Source organism: Homo sapiens, chromosome 1, assembly GCF_000001405.40.
Source record: "Homo sapiens chromosome 1, GRCh38.p14 Primary Assembly".
In the NCBI taxonomy this organism is placed as follows: domain Eukaryota; kingdom Metazoa; phylum Chordata; class Mammalia; order Primates; family Hominidae; genus Homo; species Homo sapiens.
In genome coordinates, this window is record NC_000001.11 from 45,493,866 (window position 1) to 45,516,885 (window position 23,020).

General features: G+C 48.3%; 3 protein-coding genes across 19 annotated transcripts in view, besides 3 other annotated features; 1 reads left to right on the plus strand and 2 right to left on the minus strand.

Annotated features, from left to right (window-relative positions):
* CCDC163 (CCDC163 homolog) lies at positions 1-6,208 on the minus strand. 13 transcript variants are annotated; one of them, NR_152413.2, is made up of 7 exons: positions 6,066-6,208; positions 5,667-5,801; positions 5,480-5,578; positions 3,434-3,518; positions 2,691-2,758; positions 1,553-1,680; positions 1-1,301 (listed from the first exon to the last, which is right to left on the minus strand). NR_152413.2 is itself a non-coding variant. In XM_024453044.2 (6 exons), exons 2-6 carry the CDS (start codon positions 5,742-5,744, stop codon positions 1,194-1,196), a joined length of 498 nt encoding a protein of 165 aa, XP_024308812.1. In that variant the 5' UTR covers positions 5,745-5,801; positions 6,066-6,208; the 3' UTR covers positions 1-1,193. The 13 variants fall into 13 exon arrangements, 7 of the variants coding, with proteins under 7 accessions (XP_024308812.1, NP_001345335.1, XP_024308813.1 ...); NR_152414.2 differs by having other exon boundaries at positions 3,439-3,518; positions 5,667-6,208; NR_033298.3 differs by having other exon boundaries at positions 5,667-6,208.
* Positions 6,148-6,680: an enhancer, noted in NCBI's record as "H3K27ac hESC enhancer chr1:45965685-45966217 (GRCh37/hg19 assembly coordinates)". NCBI's record gives its function as "activates a minimal SCP1, AML or CMV promoter by ChIP-STARR-seq in naive and primed H9 embryonic stem cells {active_cell/tissue: H9 hESC(naive and primed)}" and the evidence as "EXISTENCE:reporter gene assay evidence [ECO:0000049][PMID:30033119]".
* Positions 6,230-6,429: an enhancer, noted in NCBI's record as "active region_971". NCBI's record gives its function as "activates an Ori minimal core promoter by ATAC-STARR-seq in GM12878 lymphoblastoid cells {active_cell/tissue: GM12878}" and the evidence as "EXISTENCE:reporter gene assay evidence [ECO:0000049][PMID:35858748]".
* Positions 6,435-19,517, plus strand: MMACHC (metabolism of cobalamin associated C). Of its 2 annotated transcripts, none has more exons than NM_001330540.2 (4): positions 6,435-6,548; positions 13,440-13,685; positions 14,347-14,499; positions 14,931-19,517. In NM_001330540.2, the coding sequence occupies exons 2-4, from the start codon at positions 13,581-13,583 to the stop codon at positions 15,348-15,350; spliced, it is 678 nt and encodes a 225-aa protein (NP_001317469.1). In that variant the 5' UTR covers positions 6,435-6,548; positions 13,440-13,580; the 3' UTR covers positions 15,351-19,517. The 2 variants fall into 2 exon arrangements, with proteins under 2 accessions (NP_001317469.1, NP_056321.2); NM_015506.3 differs by having other exon boundaries at positions 13,491-13,685.
* Positions 15,100-15,189: an enhancer, noted in NCBI's record as "active region_972". NCBI's record gives its function as "activates an Ori minimal core promoter by ATAC-STARR-seq in GM12878 lymphoblastoid cells {active_cell/tissue: GM12878}" and the evidence as "EXISTENCE:reporter gene assay evidence [ECO:0000049][PMID:35858748]".
* PRDX1 (peroxiredoxin 1) overlaps positions 17,186-23,020 on the minus strand; it is an 11,840-nt gene continuing 6,005 nt past the window's right edge. For all 4 annotated transcript variants that reach the window (NM_001202431.2, NM_181697.3, NM_181696.3 and 1 more), the window contains exons 3-6: positions 21,789-21,942; positions 21,008-21,130; positions 20,642-20,772; positions 17,186-17,549 (exon numbers count right to left, since the gene is read on the minus strand). In NM_001202431.2, the coding sequence (NP_001189360.1) occupies positions 17,464-17,549; positions 20,642-20,772; positions 21,008-21,130; positions 21,789-21,942 (494 nt within the window). In that variant the 3' untranslated portion in view covers positions 17,186-17,463. The remainder of the gene's footprint in view (positions 17,550-20,641; positions 20,773-21,007; positions 21,131-21,788; positions 21,943-23,020) is intronic.

Sequence of the window (23,020 nt, forward strand, 5' to 3'; positions counted from 1 at the left end):
TTAGTCACAAGGCATTTTTTAATGAAATATAATAGAAAATATCAGTGTATCACTCCCACTAAGGATAAAAATTAAATCATAACATTTTTATTTCAGTTAATAAATCTACACACATATTTACTAGGTCACAATGTAAATTGTATTTCTTACTGGAAGTCACAGCCAAAAAATTCTTAAAGCCACTGGATTAGAGGCAGAGAGACTGAAAGAAGAGACCAGGGAAGAGGCTGCTACAGAAATGCAGTCTGGGCTGCTAAGGATGATGTGTGGAGATGCCAAAGAGAGCCTCAAGCAGTAGAAGCTGGGGCTAGGCATGGTAGCAGCTCACACCTGTAATCTGAACACTTTGGGAGGCCAAAGTTGGTGGATCAGTTGAGCCCAGGAGTTCGAGACCAGCCTGGGCAACATGGTGAAAACCTGTCTCTACAAAAAATATTTAAAAATTAGCCAGGCATGATAGCGTGTGCCTGTAGTCCCATATATTATTACTTGGGGGGCTAAGGTGGGAGGATTGCTTTAGTACAGGAAGCGGAGGCTGCAGTGAGCCAAGATCATGCCACTGCACTCCAGCCTGGGCAACTGAGTAAGACCTTGCCTCAAAAAAAAAAAAAAAAAAGGCAGAAGCTGGAGATGAGGAAAGGTAGCCTCCTACTGTCCAGATCCAAGTCCCACCAGAATATCTCATCCTCCTTTGCATCCCCCAGCACTACTGCCCTAGAGCAGTGTCCTACCTCATTCTACTCACCAGAATGGGAACTCCCATTACTTTCCAAGTTCAACTGAGCTTGCACTCAGAAGGTACAGCTATAGGCTGGGCATGGTGGCTCACAACTGTAATCCCAGCACTTTGGGAGGGCGAGGCGGGCAGATCACTTGAGGTCAGAAGTTCAAGACCAGACTGGCCAACATGGTGAAACCCCATCTCTACTAAAAATACAAAAATTAGCGCACACCTGTAATCCCAGCTACTTGGGAGGCTGAGGCAGGACAATTGCTTGAACCTGGGAGGCGGAGGTTGCAGTGAGCTGAGATGGGGGGCAAGGATGGGCAGGCAGTGAAAAGCCTCAGTAGATAAGACAGATAATAGCTACTTCAAGAAGGTAGGGGCGGGCAGCCCAGAAACAGGGCCTTGGAGGGGAGGGTGGGCAAAGAAGCCTTCATCCTACTATTCTTAACGAGTCCTTACAGGTCATTCAGGAGCATTTTGGGGCCCCAAAGGAATAGGTCCTCTTGCTTAAGACTCTGGGCATGGAGCTGAAAGATGCTGGGCTCCAGGTTAGAAAGGGTGCTCCTCTGGGGATCTAAGAGGAAAGAAAAGGGAAGAGAAAACAAGTCATCAGCAAGCATTGTGATATGCATAGAACTAGGCCCTAGGCCTTTCTAATAGAGAGGGACATAGAGGACTGACAGGATAAACAGCAACAGAGGTCAGTGAGTTCACAGAAAGGCAGAGACTCCATTCTACCTAGTGTTAAATAATTAGGCAGCTGGCATTCAGGCACCATTCAGATTTAGCCTCCCCCAAAACGGGAATCCTTGTCCTTATCCTTACCTGGCTTCCATAAAAGTTCCCAGCTACTGTTACTGTCCAGAAGACTGAATTAAGAGCTGGATGAAGAAACAGACATGGTGAAGGTAGTGGGCAGAGGCAGCTTAGATTGGACAACATGAATGGAGATCCTGGAAAGGGGAACAGAACCAGAAACAGAGAAGATAATGATGTATCAAGGGGGCCCTTCCAACACAGAACTGTCCTCCTTCCTCAGGCTAGGACTCTGGTCTCCTCCCTCTTTTTTTTTTTTTTTTTTTTTTTTTTTTTGAGATGGAGTCTCACTCTGTCACCCAAGCTGGAGTGCAACGGCATGATCTCAGTTTACTGCAACCTCCACCTCCTGGGTTCAAGTGATTCTCCCACCTCAGCCTCTCGAGTAGCTGGGATTACAGGCACCCGCCATCATGCCCGGCTAATTTTTGTAGAGATGGGGTTTCACCATGTTAGCCAGGCTGGTCTTGAACTCCTGACCTCAGGTGATCCGCCCACCTCGGCCTCCCAAAGTGCTGGGATTATAGGCGTGAGCCACCGCGCCCTGCCAATCTCTCCTCCCTCTGTAACATCCAAACATACAAAGGTACCTCACTGACTCTCTATCAGGTAAAGAATGCCTTTATGGGATACAACCCAGATACTCATACTACCCCAAAAGCCCAAGTCAAATCTAGGATAGCTGAACTTTGGTCCCCAGTGCCCGACCTGTGAGACAATTTCCCTCCAATGGCACAGCACCCATACCCCCTGACCTAAGGAGGTTGTGCTCCCTCCAGGCATCTTGGTCCTCTGTCCTGGTAGCCTCCAGGGTATGACCCTTGCCTTCCTGGCCACTTTGCAACTGCTCTAACATCTGCCAGATCATGGGCTCAGGTGGAACCAAACCTCTCCCTCTCTCCCTCCCCATGACTGTCCTCTTCAGCACACTTGGAACCCTCATGTCGGCAAGGATAGTTTCTCATGGCCGGGAGCAGAAAGGTTAGAAAGAAGAGCTCTGGAGAGAGAGAGAGTCAGCACAGGGAAGAGAGGAATGAAGACAGGGGCAGGAGAGGGTATCCTGGCCTCCCTGCAGAACAGGATAGACAGAGAAAGGAAAGGTCCTCCATAGAGAAATATGCAGAGACAAGTCTGAACCTAGTCCTACCTTCCAACTGCCAACCTGAGCCTGTCGTCCCTCAGCCAGCTGTTTCAGCAGCAGCTCCTGGTGCTGGCCTGCAGATGAGAGAGAATGTAAGGGGGCTGTTCCCCAACTTCTTTCCTTCTCCCTCCCTGCCTGTGACCAGCCTGCTGCCAAAAACTGAGACAGAAACATTCTGGCTCAGCCATTGGGACGCTTCCAAGCTGACTGAAGAGATTAAACTCACACCATGAGAGACAAAGAGTGCAACAAAATACTTGGCCACACTTCTCAGTAGCTCAGGCAGTTGGAGCCATGGCCACTTAATGGGAGAGCAAGAAGACTTTCCAGGCCAGGCGCAGTGGCTCACACCTGTAATCCCAGCACTTTGGGAGGCCAAGGCAGGCGGATCATCTGAGGTCAGGAGTTCGAGACCAGCTCGGCCAACATGGTGAAACCCCATTTCTACTAAAAATACTAAAAATATGAAAAAAAGTGGCTGGGCATGGTGGCGGGCACCTGTAATCCCAGCTACTCAGGAGGCTGAGGCAGGAGAATCGCTTGGACTCGGGAGGCAGAGGTTGCAGTGAGCCAAGATTGCGCCATTGCAACACAGCCTTGGCAACAGGCAACAGAGCGAGGCTGGGCAACAGAGCAAGACTCCATCTCAAAAAGAATAAAAATAAATAAAAATAAATAAAAGAAGAAGATGACTTTCCAGAAAAGGGGACAAGGAAACGCATATTCGCCCCCAACCACCTTTTACTTACTCAACTGGTACTGCAGCAACTTCAATTCCTTCTGCATAATCTCTGACTCCTCCCACAGCACTGCAGGAGTGACAGCAGTGCTATTCTAAAGTCAATCAACAAATCCAGAGTAAGAAGGCAAGTAGAGTATCTAGGGTCTTGTGAAACTCTTAGAGAGGATGATCCCCAACTTGTCCCACTACAAATGCCAAAAGTTCAAAGGCCTCAAGAAGGCAAGGCCGCACTCAGTGCTCAATGGCGCCCAGGCTGGAGTGCAGTGGCGTGATCTCGGCTCGCTACAACCTCCACCTCCCAGCCGCCTGCCTTGGCCTCCCAAAGTGCCGAGACTGCAGCCTCTGCCCGGCCGCCACCCCGTCTGGGAAGTGAGGAGCGTCTCCGCCCGGCAGCCACCCCGTCCGGGAGGGAGGTGGAGGGGGTCAGCCCCCCGCCAGGCCAGCCGCCCCGTCTGGGAGGGAGGTGGGGGTGTCAGCCCCCCGCCCGGCCAGCCACCCCATCCGGGAGGTGAGGGGTGCCTCTGCCCGGCCACCCCTACTGGGAAGTGAGGAGCCCCTCTGCCCGGCCACCACCCCGTCTGGGAGGTGTGCCCAACAGCTCATTGAGAACGGGCCAGGATGACAATGGCGGCTTTGTGGAATAGAAAGGGGGGAAAGGTGGGGAAAAGATTGAGAAATCGGATGGTTGCCGTGTCTGTGTAGAAAGAAGTAGACATGGGAGACTTTTCATTTTGTTCTGTACTAAGAAAAATTCTTCTGCCTTGGGATCCTGTTGATCTGTGACCTTACCCCCAACCCTGTGCTCTCTGAAACATGTGCTGTGTCCACTCAGAGTTAAATGGATTAAGGGCGGTGCAAGATGTGCTTTGTTAAACAGATGCTTGAAGGCAGTATGCTCATTAAGAGTCATCACCACTCCCTAATCTCAAGTACCCAGGGACACAAACACTGCCGAAGGCCGCAGGGTCCTCTGCCTAGGAAAACCAGAGACCTTTGTTCACTTGTTTATCTGCTGACCTTCCCTCCACTATTGTCCTATGACCCTGCCAAATCCCCCTCTGTGAGAAACACCCAAGAATGATCAATAAAAGAAAAACAAACCCAAAAAAAAAAAAAAAAAAAAAGAAGGCAAGGTCTTGACTATCCCTTACTCAGTCTGCAGCTCCTGAGGAAGGCCATTGGTAGTACTGCATTCTCCTGGTCCTGTTTGCATCTGGGCTTGGGCTTGGGCTTGGGTTTGCTCCCACACCTGGCTCTGAAGGCCCTGCAGTTCCTTTCTCAGCTCCTCCAGGCATTGCTCCAGGAGAAAAGCACTCCCCTTTGGGGCCCCCTGCAGCAACCTTAGTGATGCTGTAGTGGGACAAGTTAGGGATCATCCTCTCTAAGAGTTTCACAAGACCCTAGATACTCTACTTGCAAAACAAGACACATGTGCACACACAACAGGTGTGTGGCAAAATTGTGTGCATACATATGAAGCTGTGTATATGAAGAAAATAACTGGCCAGATACCTTCCAGGACACTGATCTGGTACTTCTGCTGCTCTCGCTCTTCTAGCAGGCCCTGCACTGCCTGCCTTAGTGCCTGTCACCTCCCCAGGCAGAAAAAAGCACATGAACTACTGTATAACAGCTTTTCCCGACCCCTAGTATCCTCATCTTACACAAACATCACATATACACACCAAGGATTCCAAGCCTCACCTGAGCCTGACATTGAAATTAGGATCAGAGAATAGCAACCTCACCCCAGAGAGAGGATGGGCTCTAGGACTCAGGGCAGCTCAGCCTTTGTGGAACTATGGGAGTCTCTAAAGCCCAAGGCTGTTGAGCTTGGACTCCTGACTGCAGAGGCAAGTGATGAGAGGAAATCCAGGTCCCAGCCAGGTCCCCGGCTGAGGAAATAAGGAAGGGTTAAGTGCAGGGTCTGTGTGGGGAAACAGAGTTCAGGAAAGGACAGAGTTGGAATTTGGAAGGAATAATGGATGATACGGGCACTGGAGGAAGGCACAGAAAGAGAAAGGGCTTGGAAGTAGAAAGAGACATTACTTACCTGCGGTGGAGACCCCAAGAAGATACAGCCACTGCTACAGAAGAAACAGATGCACAGGCCAATGAGCTCTGTGGAGACCCCAAGAGGATACAGCCACTGCTACAAAAGAAACAGATGCACAGGCCAATGAACTCTGAGAGTCCCTTAGCCTCCCCACGCAAACTGGGGACCTCCACCAACCCCTCACCTTATTCCGGACCACATTTCCATCAGTAGCGTTGAGAAGCACATCCAGCTGCTCAAACCAGCTGAGGCTCGTATTCATATCCTGTGGCAGGGGAGCGGCAGGGGTCTGGCTCCCTGGTGTCTTGTGCTTGCTCTCCTAGCGGGGGATACCCAAGGTATCCCCAGGAAAGGCCACCACGTTAGATGGAAAGAGGGAAGTGGGGATGCAACACTGGGGTAGGTGGATGCACTATCAGACCAAAACTGCGATCCTGTGACTAGGGAAAGGAAGGACGCTCTTGGGGAACTGGGGGAAAAGCGGGATACCGTGATGATACGCAGATATCAGGTGGGGATTGAAGGTGCCAGAACCTGGTTGAGACCTCCCCAGAAGTAGTACACTGGCGCCACCACGCCAAACCTGTGCCAGTGACAACTGCCGCCGCCGGGTTCAAAACTTCGGGTTGGTTTTGAAAGTCCGACTTTGGACTGGCTGCCGCAGCGCCACCTGGGAAACTGAGGTCGCCTCTTGCGAACACAACCGGCGATGGAGGCGGTGGAACTACCTTTCTCTAGAAGAGACACGTACATGCACACCCCCACCGTGTAGCTTGCCGGGAAACTGAGTCTTCCTGATTTCGTGTGGCTGTCTCCAAGGAGGAAACGAACTACGCATCCCAAGATGCATCGCGCATAGGCAATATGGTCCCGCTACTGGACCCATTTCCTACCTGGGAAATGGAGTCGAAGCTGACTCAAAACGTAACGGCCCAATTGTCCTTGAGACTTCATTCCCCAGCAAGCTCAGCGTGTAACGTGCGCTATGGAGCCGAAAGTCGCAGAGCTGAAGCAGAAGATCGAGGACACGCTATGTCCTTTTGGCTTCGAGGTTTACCCCTTCCAGGTTAGTTTATCCCTCCTGCTGTTCTAGGGCGAAATATATGATTGGCTTCGTTGCAACTGGCGTGAGGCCTCGGGAGCCTCTGATCCTCCTGGGTTCCTGCAGCCCAGTGTCCATGTGACAACAGGGACAGAGTTTCAGTGGGGGCTTGGGTTAAAAAGGTAGTGGTCGAGGCCGGGCATGGTGGCTCACGCCTGTAATCCCAGCACTTTGGGAGGCCGAGGCGGGCGGATCACCTGAGGTGAGGAGTTCGAGACCAGCCTGGCCAACATGGTGAAACCCCATCTCTACTAAAAATATAAAATTAGCCGGGCGTGGTGGTGCATGCCTGTAATCCCAGCTACTCGGGAGGCTGAGGCAGGACAATTGCTTGAACCCATGAGACGGAGGTTGCAGTGAGCCGAGATTGCGCCATTGCAGTCCAGCCTGAGCAACAAAGAGCGAAACTCCGTGTCAAAAAAAAAAAAAAAAAAAAAAGTTGTCGCATGTTTAACCTTTTGCCACCATATAATGCCGGATTCGTTAACGGGAGACACCATATGACCTGTAGCGTGTGTGGCTCAGATTGTCACCTATATAATTTACAAGAAGAAAGGGACCTGTGAGGCAAAGTCACCTTGGAACTTCCTAAAGGATTTAGGAGAGGGCAAAGCCTAGAAGGTTTGCATAGCTATCATTTAGGTCAGCTGAGGAAGGAAGGGCATTCCTGGTGATGAACAGGCAAACAATTGGCTGGTTTGTTCCCTCTACCAACAGAAGGATAATTCATGATATTTCCAGTCATCAGTGCTGGGCTGGGTAATGAAACTTTGTACACTTGCCTGGCACAGCAGTCTCAGCACCGCACCCCGACCCCCATTTACACGGTTACATTTCCCCACATCAGTGCCCTGTGCACTGAGCAGTTAAGTTACAAAGCTAAATCAGCTCAGCTTGAGCCCTTTGCCTGATGCTTAAGAGACTACCCACTTCCCATTCCTTCTGCTGAGTGGCTCACAGCAGTCCTGGGAGAGGATATAGAGGGAGAAGTAGGTTGGGTCTAGCTTGAGACTGGTCTTGCCAGAAAAAATGGAATTGAGCTATATATGAAAAGATAGATTGGAAGGAAGGAGGGTTATGTACATCCCAAATATCAGAAAAAGCTTGAGTAAAGGTGTGGAGATAGTGGTGTGGTGTTACCAAGTAAAAGGGCTTGATGCCTGATGTGCTGGAAGCTAATATTATGACACTGGGTTTTTGAGAAAACAAAAGCTATTTGTTGCAGATCGACCTTTAACTCTTTGAGACACCGTTTCAGTGGATGGCAGGTGTGTGGGAGAGTGAGAATGCCTATCTGGCAAGTTGAGTAGACCTGGGTATTAGGAGCTTTTGTACTGAACAAAGCCAACTGCAGCCCTGCCAGTCACCCTAGGCTCCTACCTCTCACCTCCCTACCCCCACATCCAATCAGCCACCAAGACCTATAAGACTGTCTACTGAATCTCCCAAATCCATTCCCTTGTATTCCACCCATCTATGCTGTGGTCCAGGCCACCATTTCTCACTTGGATTACTGTAATAACCTCCTTGCTGTAATTTTACCTCCAGTCCCTCCTCCACACTGCAGCCAGTGTGATCTAAAAATGATCATGCTAGTTTACTCCTTAAATCTTCAGTGGCTCTTCACTGTCACCAAATTAAATCCATATTCCTTAAATTGGTATTCAAAGCCAATCAAAATCTCACTCCTATTGATCTCTCCAGCCTTCTCTCCCTCTGATTCCCTCTACAGACCCTTCACTTCCACCAAACTAGACAATTCTCAAATATACCCAGGAATTTTCTGCCAGTGTGTTTGCTTATGCTGTGACTTGTTTATTTTATTCTTTATTTATTTAGAGACAAAGTCTCACTCTGTCCTCCCGGCCGGAGTGCAGTGGTGCAATCATAGCTCACTGCAGCCTCAAACTCCTGGGCTCAAGTGATCCTCCCACTTTAGTCTCCCAAGTAGCTGACTCCAGGCATGCACCAACACTCAGGGTCTCACTTTGTTGCCCTGGCTGGTCTTGAACTCCTGGCCTCAAGTGATCCTCCTGCTTCGGCCAGCCACCCAAAGCACTGGGATTACAGGCATGAGTCACCGCACTCAGTCTGTGACCTCTTTTTAAAATACACACCAGTGAGTTTATGTGTTTTTTGGTGAAATATAAATAATAAATAAATGCACACCAGATTCTCCTCCCTACATCAACCTGACAGTTGACCAGTTGACTTTCTAGCCTTCAAGACTTAGCATCCAAGGAAGCCTTTTCTTTTCTTTTTTTTTTTTTTTGAGATGGAGTTTCGCTCTTGTTGCCCAGGCTGGAGTGCAATGGTGCGATCTCAGCTCACCACAACCTCTGCCTCCCGGGTTCAAGTGATTCTCCTGCCTCAGCCTCCAGAGTAGGTAGGATTACAGGCATGTGCCAACATACCCGGCTAATTTTGTATTTTTTTTAGTAGAGACAGTTTCTCCATGTTGGTCAGGCTGGTCTTGAACTCCCGACCTCAGGTGATCTGCCTGCGTTGGCCTCCCAAAGTGCTGGAATTACAGGCATGAGCCACCATGCCCGGCCACAAGGAAGCCTTTTCTAATTTCAGAGGACCCTTATCTGACCCTGTCATTGCACTAGCTATAGTACAGTCATTTCTATTGTTCTTAGTGGTTCTGCCTATTAGAACTTTCTGCAGCCAGGCGTGGTGGTTCTCACCTATATCCCAGCACTTTGGGAGGCCAAGGTGGGTAAATTACTGGAGGTCAGGGGTTCAAGACCAGCCTGGCTAACATGGTGAAATCCCGTCTCTACTAAAAATACAAAATTAGGTGGGCGTGGTGGTGTGCACCTGTAATCCCGGCTACTCGGGAGGCTGAAGCAGGAGAATCGCTTGAGCCCAGGAGGTGGAGGTTGTGGTGAGTCGAGATCGCGCCATTGCAGTCTAGCCTGGGCAAGAAGAAGAGCGAAACTCCATCTCAAAAATAATAATAACTCTCTAACTCTCTGCTTTTTTTTTTTTTTTTTTTTTTGAGATGGAGTCTCACTCTGTTGCCCCGGCTGGAGTGCAATGGCACCATCTTGGCTCACTGCAACCTCTGGCTCCCAGGTTCAAGCGATTCTCCCGCCTCAGCCTCCTGAGTAGCTGAGATTTCTGCCTCTCTATTCTAAGTTCCCTGCCATATAATACATGAACCTATAATAGACATGAGGGGGAACAGACCTAACCACAACAGTCACATTATTAGTTGAGCACCGACACAGACTTCACTTATCTGTTACAGCAGTAAAACCAGCTACAATCAAACAAGTAATGGTCATCCCACTCTGTCCCATTAATGCACAACCCCAGGTAGCCTGTGTAGACCTGTGTCAAGTGTTCTGCACTATGAGTCAGAAATCCCCAGTAAGTGATGCCGGTATATACATAGCACTTTGTGTGAACAGCAGAAACCTCCACAACTACGTGATTTAGCAAGTTCATTGCAGGTTATGTTATGGGTCTTCGGTTTGGGCTTCTTGTGACATCTCTTCTCCATGTTCAGTGTGTGAATGTGGGTGTAGACGGTGTTACAGGTGAATCCAATTTCTTGGATGTCCAGGCCAAGTGGACAAAAGCAAATATTGTGTGTCCTAAAACTGAAAATAAAGTTTGCATTAATCACATATTTGCTTTGCTGATTGGTCAACCTCAAAAACACAGGCTTGCTGGCCGGGCACGGAGACTCAAGCCTGTAATCCCAGCACTTTAGGGAGGCGGAGGCGGGTGGATCATCTGAGGTCAGGAGTTCAAGACCAGCCTCGCCAACATGATGAAACCCCATCTCAACTAAAAATACAGAAAATGAGCCAGGTTTGCTGGCAGGCACCTGTAATCCCAGCTCCTCGGGAGGCTGAGGCAGGAGAATCACTTGAACCCAGGAGGCAGAGGTTGCAGTGAGCCAAGATCGCGCCACAAACTCCAGCCTGGGGAACAAGAGCAAAATTCCATCTCAAAAAAAAGAAACCAAACACAAGATTCCTGTTAGGGGTTTGTAGACTAATATGGTGTTGACCGTGGTAACAAGAAAGTCTGTCAAAAGCAGGAAAATCCCATCCTGGGCAACATAGGGAGACCCTGTCTCTACAACAAATTATTTTTTTGTTTTAATTAGCCAGCCAGGTGTGGTGGCTCACACCTGTGGTCCCAGCCACTCGGGAAGCTGAGGAGGGATGATTGCTTGAGGGAGGGAGGTTGAGGCTGCAGTGAGCTGTGATCACCTCACTGCACTCTAGCCTAGGTGACAAAGCAAGACTATCTCAAAAAAAAGAAGCAGAAAAACCCCTGATGGGCTCAAGTCAGAGGTTAAGTACGTTTCTAGCCTCTTTGGTAGCATCAGTTCATCATTAACTGATAAAAATGGTTTTTTTGGCCTGGCACGGAAGCTCACGCCTGTAATCCTAGCACTTTGGGAGGCCAAGGTGGGCAGATCAGTTGAGGCCAGGTGTTCGAGACCAGCCTGGCCAACATGGCAAAACCCCATCTCTACTAAAAATACAAAAAATTAGCTAGGCCTGGTAGCACACGCCTGTTAATCCCTGCTACTTGGGGGACTGAGGCACAAGAATCACTTGGACCCAGGAGGCAGAGGTTGCAGTGAGCCAACATCATGCCACTGTACCCTAGCCCCTGGGCGACAGTGAGACTGTATACATTTAAAAAAAAAAAAAAAAAAAGGGCCGTTTTGTTTTTAAAGACAGGTTCTCGCCTGGCGCGGTGACTCACGCCTGTAATCCCAACACTTTGGGAGGCCGATGCAGGTGGATCATGAGGTCAAGAGATCGAGACCATCCTGGCCAACATGGTGAAACTCCGTCTCTACTAAAAAATACAAAAATTAGCTGGGCGTAGTGATGCACGCCTGTAGTCCCAGCAACTTGGGAGGCTGAGACAGGAAAATCACTTGAACCCGGGAGGTGGAGATTGCAATAAGCCGAGGCTGCGCCATTGCACTCCAGCCTGGCGACAGAGTGAGAATCCGTCTCAAAAAATAAAATAAAATAAAATAAAAAAACAAAGACAGGTTCTCACTCTGTTACCCAGGCTGGTCTAAAACTCTTGGCCCCAAGCAGTCCTCCTACCTCAGCCTCCCAAAGTGCTGGGATTGCAGGCATGAGCCACCGCGCCGAGCCTAAAAACAGTATTTTAAGAAACTGCCTGGGCTGGGCCCGGTGGCTCACGCCTGTAATCTCAGCACTTTGGGAGGCCAAGTCAGGTGGATCACGAGGTCAGGAGATCGAGACCACCCTGGCCAACATGGTGAAACCTCATCTCTACTAAAAATACAAAAATTAGCCGGGCGTGGTGGCACGTGCCTGTAGTCCCAGCTACTCAGGAGGCTGAGGCAGGGGAATCACTTGAACCCGGGAGGCGGAGGTTGCGGTGAGCCTAGATCACGCCACTGCACTCTAACCTGGGCAACAGAGTGAGACTCCGTCTCAAAAAAAAAAAAAAACAAAACTGCCTGTTCTCTCCAAATTCATCTCTAGAGTTAGGGTTATATAGCCTGGAACTATGATCTCGTCTTTTGATCTGTCTGTATGGAGATGCTCTGGATATAGTAAAATTTTAATCTATTATAACCCCTTGATCTTCAGTGAAGACATAGCTTGCTGCCACTGATAGTTTCCCCTGATGACATATCAAAAGGATAAAGAAGTGCTGGTTGGGAAGAGACTGGTGGAACCACATCGTTTTGTGTCATTTGAGGATGAGTTGGACTGTGGCATGAACGGCATTGAGGGTTCAGGTGGCTTTCTCCCTCTCAGGCTTGGCTGCAGCAACATGCTTCTCCAGATTAACAATATTTTTCTGAACAACTGTCATGGCATCATATGTTGATTCTGCTTTGAGAAATCTCCGATCTTGTTTTTGTCTTAAAATGCCTTCAAGGTGTTGGACTTGGAGGGCAAGTGCGTTGACAGCCACTTTGACTGTTCCTATGCCCTCATGCACCTCAGTCAGTTGTGGATTTAGGAACTCTGCTCTGTGGGTCCTCGTTCCTGGGTTTTTAATTTTCTTTTATTATTATTATTATTTTTTGAGGCGGGGGTCTCACTCTGTTGCCCAGGCTGGAGTGCAGTGGCACGATCTTGTCTCATTGCAACCTCTGCCTACCGGGTTCAAGCGATTCTCCTGCCTCAGCCTCCTGAGTAGCTGCGATTACAGGCGAGTGCCACCATGCTTGTCTAATTTTTGTATTTCTAGTACAGGCAGGGTTTCACCATGTTGGCCAGGCTGGTCTCAAACTCCAGACCTTAGGTGATCCACCTGCCTCGGCCTCCCAAAGTGCTGGGATTATAGCTGTGAGTCACCACACCTGGCGGGGTTTTTCATTTTCATTGGTTCATTTGTAGTTGGATGAGGCCTGAAATTATTTGCTGTCAGTCAGTCCTTCAATAAATAAAATAATTCCCTGGGCCAGGCTCGGTGGCTCACGCCTATATAATCCCAGCACTTTGGAAGGCCGAGGCAGGTGGGTCCTAGCTGAGGCCAGGAGTTCGGAGACCAGCCTGGCCAACATGGCGAAACCCTGTCTCTACTAAAAATACAAAAACTAGCCAGGCGTGGTAGTGCACATCGTAATCCCAGCTGCTCGGGAGGCTGAGGCATGAGAATCACTTGAATCTGGGAGGCCAAAGTTGCAGTGGGCCAAGATCATGCCACTGCACTCCAGCCTGGGTGACAGAGCAAGACTCTGTCTCAAAAAATAATGAATTCCCTGTCAAATTCAGTTGAGTTGCTTATAAAAATGCATCACATAGCGTCAGTGAAAATTCACTGAATGAGTGAGATGGAGGCTGGGGCAAAAGTGTGAGGCCTGAAGGTTAAGGTGTGGGCCAGGCTGAGGCCTAGACTGGCCCTCTCCAGCCTGGCCTGAACTTTCTGTTTCAGGTGGCATGGTACAATGAACTCTTGCCTCCAGCCTTCCACCTACCGCTGCCAGGACCTACCCTGGCCTTCCTGGTACTCAGCACGCCTGCCATGTTTGACCGGGCCCTCAAGCCCTTCTTGCAGAGCTGCCACCTCCGAATGCTGACTGACCCAGTGGACCAGTGTGTGGCCTACCATCTGGGCCGTGTTAGAGAGGTGAGGAAGGCTCAGTTTTCCCCCAGCTCCCAAACCTACAGCTGCCTCCAGTTCCTCCACACTCAATGCAGGATCTAGACCTAGGGCTAGGAGCCACTTCAAAGGTGAAATGATACCCTAAAGCCAGGCTTGACATTCTGTGATCTTTCCTCATTCTGCCTTCTCACACACCCAGGTTCCACCACCCTCATCTAGCAGTCCCCCAGTGTGAAATAGTCTCACTCACCCTACACTGATGGGCAACTATATGAACCTCAGACCAGGTTTTCCTTGGCCTCCAAGTGGAATAGGAATGAGTCCAACATTCCCCAGGCATTGCTTTGTCCTAGACCTGCAAGCTTTATGCTGTCCTTTTGAGGACAGAACAATATTCTCCCAACACACACTCACATATACACATAACTATGTACATACCCACTGGATCTCCCCAAAGCTGACCATGCCTTCCTTCACACCAGGTGTTATGTATTTCCCTTCAAACATGTGCCCTTCTGGAAATAACTATAACTATGTCCACACTGGAGCCTCCCAAGTTAAGGTCATGTTTTCCCTTCTGAGGACAGGACCATGTTCACACACACAAAACAAACTAGGGCTCCCTCGGACAAGGTCATAACTCCCCTCATGCTGACAGTACCCTCTATTTTGTCCACTGTTCCAGAGCCTCCCAGAGCTGCAGATAGAAATCATTGCTGACTACGAGGTGCACCCCAACCGACGCCCCAAGATCCTGGCCCAGACAGCAGCCCATGTAGCTGGGGCTGCTTACTACTACCAACGACAAGATGTGGAGGCTGACCCATGGGGGAACCAGGTGAGAGGGAAAATGTAAATAGAGGCTGAGATAGACTGGTAAAGGCCTCTCCCTACCAGGTCCCACATTCCTCAGCCTTCCCTGGATGGATGTGACACAACCCAGAACAAATTAGCTTTGTTCTGGATGGGAGGCAGTCCTGTCACATGCGGTTGTCTAACTGGGTACTCGTGAGATCAGAAAACTTAGTCTGCAGAACTGTCTTAGGATACAGGGGGCACAGCAGTGTTAAGACTAGTGGTGAGACTAGGAAGCCCAGCCCTTCCCTGTGCTCAGAATAGTTTATGAAAGGGTTTGCCAAGAAAAGGACAGAGGTTTATGTAGTCAGTGTACACTGAGTGGGAAGTGAACAGGCCTAGCTTGCAATGATGGCAGTTGACTTGGTGCCAAGGGGACCTCCATGACCTTGCTTTTCTTCACCCTCTCCCCAGCGCATATCAGGTGTGTGCATACACCCCCGATTTGGGGGCTGGTTTGCCATCCGAGGGGTAGTGCTGCTGCCAGGGATAGAGGTGCCAGATCTGCCACCCAGAAAACCTCATGACTGTGTACCTACAAGAGCTGACCGTATCGCCCTACTCGAAGGCTTCAATTTCCACTGGCGTGATTGGACTTACCGGGATGCTGTGACACCCCAGGAGCGCTACTCAGAAGAGCAGAAGGCCTACTTCTCCACTCCACCTGCCCAACGATTGGCCCTATTGGGCTTGGCTCAGCCCTCAGAGAAGCCTAGTTCTCCCTCCCCGGACCTTCCCTTTACCACACCCGCCCCCAAGAAGCCTGGGAATCCCAGCAGAGCCCGGAGCTGGCTCAGCCCCAGGGTCTCACCACCTGCATCCCCTGGCCCTTGATTTTCTCCCATGTGGACCCTGATTTATGGTGGTACTTGCTAGGACTTAATTGGCTTTGGCAAAGCAAAAGGTTTTGAGTACAAGATTACTATTTTTGATAATATAGTAGAGATCTTCCATGAAGATAACAAGGCTCAAGGAAGTTAGGTTTGGCCAAGATAAAGGCCAGGGAACCAGAATTCCCATCTGCCTTCAAATGAGTTTTTTTTTTTTTTTTAGACAGAGTCTTACTCTGTCACCTAGGCTGGAGTGCAGTGGCACAGTCTCTACTCACTGCAACCTCTGCCTCCTGGGTTCAAGCAATTATCTGCCTCAGCCTCCTGAGTAGCTGGGATGACAGGTGCCTGCCACTACACCTGGCTAATTTTTTGTATTTTTAGTAGAGATGGGGTTTCATCATATTGGCCAGGCTGGTCTTTAACTCCTGACCTCGTGATCCACCCATCTTGGCCTCCCAAAGTCCTGGGATTACAGGAATGAGCCACCGCACCCAGCCAAGACTCTATCTGTTCCCATTTCTAAGCAGTTCCCCAAGATGTTGTTACAGGGCCTAAGGGGCAAATATCCTCTAAAGAGTACCTACCAGCAGGGTGTGGTGGCTCCCGCCTGTAATCCCAGCACTCTGGGAGGCCGAGGCAGGTGGATCATGAGGTCGAGTTTGAGACCAGCCTGGCCAATACAGTGAAACCCCGTCTCTACTAAAAATGCAAAGTTAGCCGGGCATGGTAGCGCAGGCCTGTAGTCCCAGCTACTCAGGAGGCTGAGGCAGTAGAATCATTTGAACCAGGGAGGCAGAGATTGCAGTGAGCCGAGATTGCATGGCTGCACTCTAGCCTGGGTGACAGTGTGAGACTCTGTCTCAAAAAAAAAAAAAAAAGTACCTACCTCAGGTAGGGACTGAATAAACACGTGTAAGGCACTTTGGAAAAATACCTGGCATATATAGTAAGCAGTATGTTGGCCATTACCAAAGGCCCTGGGAATTCTGTACTGCTGCTCATGGGTGTAGTCGGTTCTAGAGGGGTGGGCAGGTGGGAGTAGCTGAGGAAGACAAGTGGCTGGAATGGTATCACATGATACACAGAAGTATCCTCAGTTCTGAATCTACCTTGGCCTCAAGGGCCCAGGAGAATAACTTTTCCCAGCTGACAGCCTCTCTGAGGACAATGACATATGAATGAGGATCAAAACGAGCTTTGGCCAGGCACTGTGGCGCTCACCTGTAATCCCACCATTTTGGGAGGCTGAGGCGGAGGACCGCCTGAGGCAAGGAATTCAGAACCACTCTGGGCAACATAATGACACTAAAAAAGACTATCTCTAATCAAGGCTAGAACCAAGGGAAGGCTAAGAATTGCCCAGTACTGTGCAACTACGAAAGCCCTACCCAAGGCCACCAGCCTTGTCTTCCTCTTTCCTCTGTCAGTTCAAAAAGAACAGAAACCTCCAGCTCTTTTACATAGCAGGTACCAGGCATTTATCAGAAGAGGCCAAGCTTCTGGTTCCCATGCAGCCCTTTGAATAGTGTGTCTAAACAAAAATAGGTGTCCAAGTAGTCACACTGAGACTTTAACTGGTAACCCAGCCTGTGGCGTCAGTCGCAGTGCTCTGGCCAACACTATAGCAGGGCTTATTCTTCTCCCTCATGTGTAGTGAAACAAAATGTAACACCTTGGGTTCATTCAGTTCCATTCCCTATATCTACCTGTGTCAATATAATTCCCTGATTTGGAGGCAGCTCTCCTCATTTTCCCCAAAACAGGGAAAGCAAGGAGTAAATTCCTCTTAAAATCAAAAGCTAATAATATGCTTCCTAAAATAAAGACTCATCAAGGTCTCAGTTCAAGTTTAATACAAACTACAAAAGATTAATGGGTTGCTCTACTAATACATCATACAAACCAGTAGCCTGCCCACAACGCCAACTCAGGCCATTCCTACCAAAGGAAGAAAGGCTGGTCTCTCCACCCCCTGTAGGAAAGGCCTGCCTTGTAAGACACCACAATTCGGCTGAATCTGAAGTCTTGTGTTTTACTAATGGAAAAAAAAAATACAGAAGAGGTTTTGTTCTCATGGCTGCCCACCGCAGCCTGGCACTAAAACAGCCCAGCGCTCACTTCTGCTTGGAGAAATATTCTTTGCTCTTTTGGACATCAGGCTTGATGGTATCACTGCCAGGTTTCCAGCCAGCTGGGCACACTGCAAGAGAAAGGCACCACTAATTAATAACCTTCTCAATGGTATGCACCACCATTCTCCTATGGACAAAACCAGTTCTGCACCTGAACACTCAGATACCAGGAAACCTACCCCTGCAATCAGTCTTAGATCATTCACCCTTTTAGTATGAGCTAACCATTTTACAAACATATAATCATCACCACAGCCTTAAGATACTATCATGCCTAATTTATTCATGTAGCACTTGAAATTTAAATTTTCCACAAAAAAAGGCAAAGTTTAAATAATTTGCCAACACTCTCTAATCCTTAAGGGGAAAAAAAAGCTAAATAAACGACACACATAGGACTATGTAAACCCTTAACACTAAACTGTTTCTGACAGCCCTTCAGAGCTCTGAAGACAGCAAACTCAGTCTGCCTTCTCAGCATTCTTCTAACTCTACCAAACTGGATAGCCTGAACCTTATAAAGGATCAAGAACTTAACAGAAGCCCCCGCTTGTTTCATTAAGTAACTGCCATCTACCCCTTGGTAAGCAAAAGGCAGAGTTTGAAATTTTTCATAGATTTATACAGAAAGCACAGCCTTCAACCTTTTCCTGACAATGCCTAAGAATGTGCCTCAGGCTAGCCTGAAGAAAATGAGGCAAGGGGACTAATCTCTTATTTTTCTTTTTTTTTTTTTTTTTTTTTTTTTTTGAGATGGAGTCTCCCTCTGTTGCCCAGGCTGGAGTACGGTGGCGCAATCTCCACCTCCGTCTCACTGCAACCTCGGTCTCCCGGGTTCAAGCGATTCTCCTGCATCAGCCTCCCAAATAGCTAGGATTACAGGCGCCCACCACCACACCTGGCTAATTTTTGAGACAGTCTCACATTGTCGCCCAGGCTGGAGTGCAGTGGCGCGATCTCAGCTCACTGCAAGCTCCACCTCCGGGGTTCATGCCATTCTCCTGCCTCAGCCTCCCGAGTAGCTGGGACTATACAAAAATAGTGGGGCGTGGTGGTGGACCCCTGTAGTCCTAGCTACTCAGGAGGCTGAGGCAAGAGAATCACTTGAACCCAGGAGGTGGAGGCTGCAGTGAGCTGAGATCACACCACTGCACTCCAGTCTGGGCGACAAAACAAGACTCTGTCTCAAAAAAAAAAAGTGTTTGGCATTCATTGGCTCTTAAATGGTACCTATTTAAGAGGCTGTACATGTTCCAGTGGGATGGGAAGCAGCAGAGACCAACAGAGTCTGAAGAAGCAAGCTTCTGAGTTATGAAAGCCTGGGTTCAGGAGACTAACCTATATGTAGGTTCCTAGGAAAGTCCAGTTAAAGGGCCTACTTTGCCACTGCTGCCTCCTTCTTAATGCTGAACCTCATCTCCCACAAGGGGGCAGTCTCAGCAGGTGTCAGCTGAGCCATGTGTCATCTGTCCAGGCTAACTGCCCACACATCCTTCTGCAAAGGGTACCTCTTGGTTATCAGTGCTCACTGATCCCTATATAATCAGACTCTAATCCCTGTAAAAAGATTACTTGGTGCTAGCCAAGCTAGCACCTTTGGGTCTTCCCAAACATACACCACTAATCCAGACTCTAATAACTTCATTTCCTTTAAATTACAAGATCAGAGCTGAAATAGGCCTTAGAAAGCTAGTCTGGGCTGGGCGCAATGGCTCAGGGGAGGCGGAGGTTGCAGTGAGCCAAGACTGCGCCACTGCACTCCAGCCTGGGCAACAGAGCAAGACTCCATCTTGCAAAAAATAAATAAATAAATAAAAATATGAACTATATGGATTAACCTCTTCTCTCAATAAAGTTATTTAAAAAATGGCATGCTTTATCTCTAGAGGTGATTCCCAACCATTTTGTTTTGCCCTAATACATCTGTGAGATCATCCTACATTCAGTAAGTTAGATCTTTGGGAGTGACTGATTCTAAATGAGCAGGACAGAAGAGAGGAGTATGTATACTTTGAATAAAAAGCCTTTATATTCTCCTTCCCAAGCTTTTCCATTACCCTCACCCTCACAACACACTGTAATCCAGGGGCTTCAATTTATGAAGAGAGATACCCATTTTCTTATTTGGTAGCTTCTGTTCCTACTATCTTTCCCATTCTACCACTGTGGGGAAAAGAGAGATCAGATTGTTACTGTCTCTGTGTAGAAAGAAGTAGACAGAGGAGACTCCATTTTGTTCTGTACTAAGAAAAATTCTTCTGCCTTGAGATGCTGTTAATCTGTAACCTTATCCCCAACCCTGTGCTCCCTGAAACATGTGCTGTGTCAACTCAGGGTTAAATGGATTAAGGGCTGTGCAAGATATGCTTTGTTAAAACAAATGCTTGAAGGCAGCATGCTCGTTTTAAGAGTCATCACCACTCCCTAATCTCAAGTATCCGGGGACACAAACACTGCGGAAGGCCACAGGGACCTCTGCCTAGGAAACCCAGGTATTGTCCAAGGTTTCTCCCCATGTGATAGTCTGAAATATGGCCTCGTGGGAAGGGAAAGACCTGACCGGGGTCCCCCAGCCTGACACCCTGTGCTAAGGAGGATTAGTAAAAGAGGAAGGAACGCCTCTTTGCAGTTGAGACAAGAGGAAGGCATCTGTCTCCAGCCAGTCCCTGGGCAATGGAATGTCTCAGTGTAAAACCCAATTGTATGTTCCATCTACTGAGACAGGGGAAAACCGCCTCAGGGGTGGAGGTGGGACATGCGGGCAGCAATACTGCTCTTTAAGGCATTGAGATGTTTATGTGTATGCACATCTAAAGCACAGCACTTAATTCTTTACCTTGTTCATGATGCAGAGACCTTTGTTCACGTGTTTATCTGCTGACCTTCTCTCCACTATTATCCTATGACCCTGCCACATCCCCCTCTCCGAGAAACACCCAAGAATGATCAATAAATACTAAGGGAACTCAGAGGCCGGCGGGATCCTCTGTATGCTGAACACTGGTCCCCTGGGCCCCCTTATTTCTTTCTCTATACTTTGTCTACGTGTCTTTTTCCAAGTCTCTCATTCCACCTAACGAGAAACACCCACAGGTGTGAAGGGGCAACCCACCCCTTCATACCACCACTCTGTTGTCCTGTTATCAGACAGATGGCTTACCTTCCCCATGTTTGTCAGTGAACTGGAAGGCCTGAACTAGTCTCAAAGTCTCATCCACAGAGCGGCCAACAGGGAGGTCATTTACAGTGATCTGCCGAAGAATACCCTTATCATCAATGATAAAAAGGCCCCTGGGAAAAGAGATGAAAGGAAAAGCAATACAGGTTTAGAGATGTGCTTTGTTAGAATACAGAGGCTTGAAGCCTGAAGGAAATGGACTGGTCTCCACACTCCTACTGGCCTGGCCTTAGTGAGGAGGCCCCTGCATAAAGGAATGAAATGACAAGGAGTCTCTACAGATCAGGGCTCTAGATCTCTCCAAATAAAAGGCTTTCAGCCAACTGGATACTTGTCCTGATGACATACCTGAACGAGATGCCTTCATCAGCCTTTAAGACCCCATAATCCTGAGCAATGGTGCGCTTCGGGTCTGATACCAAAGGAATGTTCATGGGTCCCAGTCCTCCTTGTTTCTTAGGTGTATTGACCCTATGGCAAAAGGCAAACATACAGTTACATTCAAACTCTTGACTTGACTGTACGCATTCCTCTTTCCCCTTTCCCATATTCCTAATCTAACTTTCCAAAAAGACTGTTTTTTTTCCGTTTTCCAGCAATAAAGTGAATGCTGAGAACAGTTAAGGTAGGTCACTAGGGTACACTCAACTGCAATTGAAGCTGCTTCTTCTCTGCTGCCAGGTCATGAGAGCAATAAGAGAAAGTCAGACTTTGCACTCCCTTCAATGAGAAGGCAATACTTGAAAGTCTATTGCCAAAGCTTCCCAGTTGCTGTTTTAAAAGTTCACATGCCAGCCAGGTGCAGTGGCTCACACCTGTAATCCCAGCACTTTGGGAGGCTGAGGTGGGCAGATCACGAGGTCAGGAGATCAAGAACATCCTGACTAACACGGTGAAACACCGTCTCTACTGAAAATACAAAAAATTAGCCAGGTATGGTGGCAGGCGCCTGTAGTCCCAGCTACTCAGGAGGCTGAGGCAGGAGAATGGCGTGAAACTGGGAGGCAGAGCTTGAAGTGAGCGGAGATCACACCACTGCACTCCAGCCTGGGCGACAAAGCAAGACTCCATCTCAAAAAAAAAAAAAAAAAAAAAAAAGTTCACATGCCAAATAGACCAAGAGATTTACCATGCTAGATGACAGAAGTGAGAATCCACAGAAGCACCAATCACTTGGCAGTTGAGTTTCTTAAATTCTTCTGCCCTATCACTGAAAGCAATGATCTCCGTGGGGCACACAAAGGTGAAGTCAAGAGGGTAAAAGAAGAACACAACATATTTTCCTGGGGGGAAAATCGGAGTCATGGTTAGCATTTGACACAGACTTCCTTGCTTTATATTTTCCTATACAAAAAGAAGCAAGTTGATGGCTGACACAATAACCACTAACTGCCAAGATGCTCAATACAGATGTCTCCTAGAAGCTACTTTTAGAACCTGGTGCATTAGGAATACCTGAATGAAAAAAACTTCCAATCCCATACTTTATTCTCCTGCCTCCATGTCATAGCTACCAATACAGAGTAAACACTGTTCAGTCTAATTTTGATCTTTTCTGAGTGGCTAAAATTAACATAAACACCAAGTTCTCCAAAGATAGCAAAAGCAAGGATGCACTTATAAGCATGGCCTAATGCCAATGCTTAACAATACCCAGAGAAAGCTGAATTGCAGTACTCCTCTGCTGTAGAGATAAGACACCAATAAGAAGTCACAGCCTTTGCACTTCTCCCGTGATGAACCATAGTAATGGAACAAGCATGGTTTAAGTGATCACATGTGTTCCTAACGTGCCTGACAGGACAGGAAAAATTTTAAGCCAGGCACAGTGGTGCGTGTCTGTAGTCCCAGCTACTTGGGAGGCTGAGGTGGGAGGATCCCTTGACCCCAGGAGTTTGAGGCCAGCCTGGGCAACACAGCAAGACTGTCTCAAAACAACAGAAATATATATATACATATACACAGAGAGAGAGAGAGAAAGAGGGAGACAGAGAGAGACAGAAAAGACAAAAGTACTAGTGAGTAACAGAACTTCTAGCTGCAATTTTAATGAAGTCACTGGGATTAACCACTGAAATAACAGATCTTCAAACTGGCCAGGCAGCCTTCTCGCCACACCCACCAGGCTTAAATACTAGAACAATTCCAAATATTCACTCATTTCCAGGTAGCAGCAATGTTTGAAAAGTCAAACAGGCTGGGTGTGGTGGCATGGTGGCTGACGTCTGTAATCCCAGCAGTTTGGGAGGCAGTTTGGGAGGCCGAGGCGGGTGGATCACCTGAGGTCAGGAGTTCAAGACCAGGCTGACCAACATGGTAAAACATGTCTCTACTAAAAATACAAAAATTAGCTGGGTGTGA

What these genes read in the sequence shown, in the direction of transcription:
- CCDC163 (XM_024453044.2), bottom strand. Translation starts at nt 5,744, where the DNA reads ATGAATACGAGCCTCAGCTGGTTTGAGCAGCTGGATGTGCTTCTCAAC. An exon ending in TCTTGGGGTCTCCACCGCAG is followed by an intron (nt 3,519 to 5,479) that starts GTAAGTAATGTC and finishes GATTGACTTTAG; the next exon opens with AATAGCACTGCTGTCACTCC. An exon ending in GTTGCTGCAGTACCAGTTGA is followed by an intron (nt 1,681 to 3,433) that starts GTAAGTAAAAGG and finishes TCCCCTTTCCAG; the next exon opens with GATCTCCATTCATGTTGTCC.
- MMACHC (NM_015506.3), top strand. Translation starts at nt 6,468, where the DNA reads ATGGAGCCGAAAGTCGCAGAGCTGAAGCAGAAGATCGAGGACACGCTA. An exon ending in ATCTGGGCCGTGTTAGAGAG is followed by an intron (nt 13,686 to 14,346) that starts GTGAGGAAGGCT and finishes CCACTGTTCCAG; the next exon opens with AGCCTCCCAGAGCTGCAGAT. An exon ending in CTGACCCATGGGGGAACCAG is followed by an intron (nt 14,500 to 14,930) that starts GTGAGAGGGAAA and finishes CCCTCTCCCCAG; the next exon opens with CGCATATCAGGTGTGTGCAT.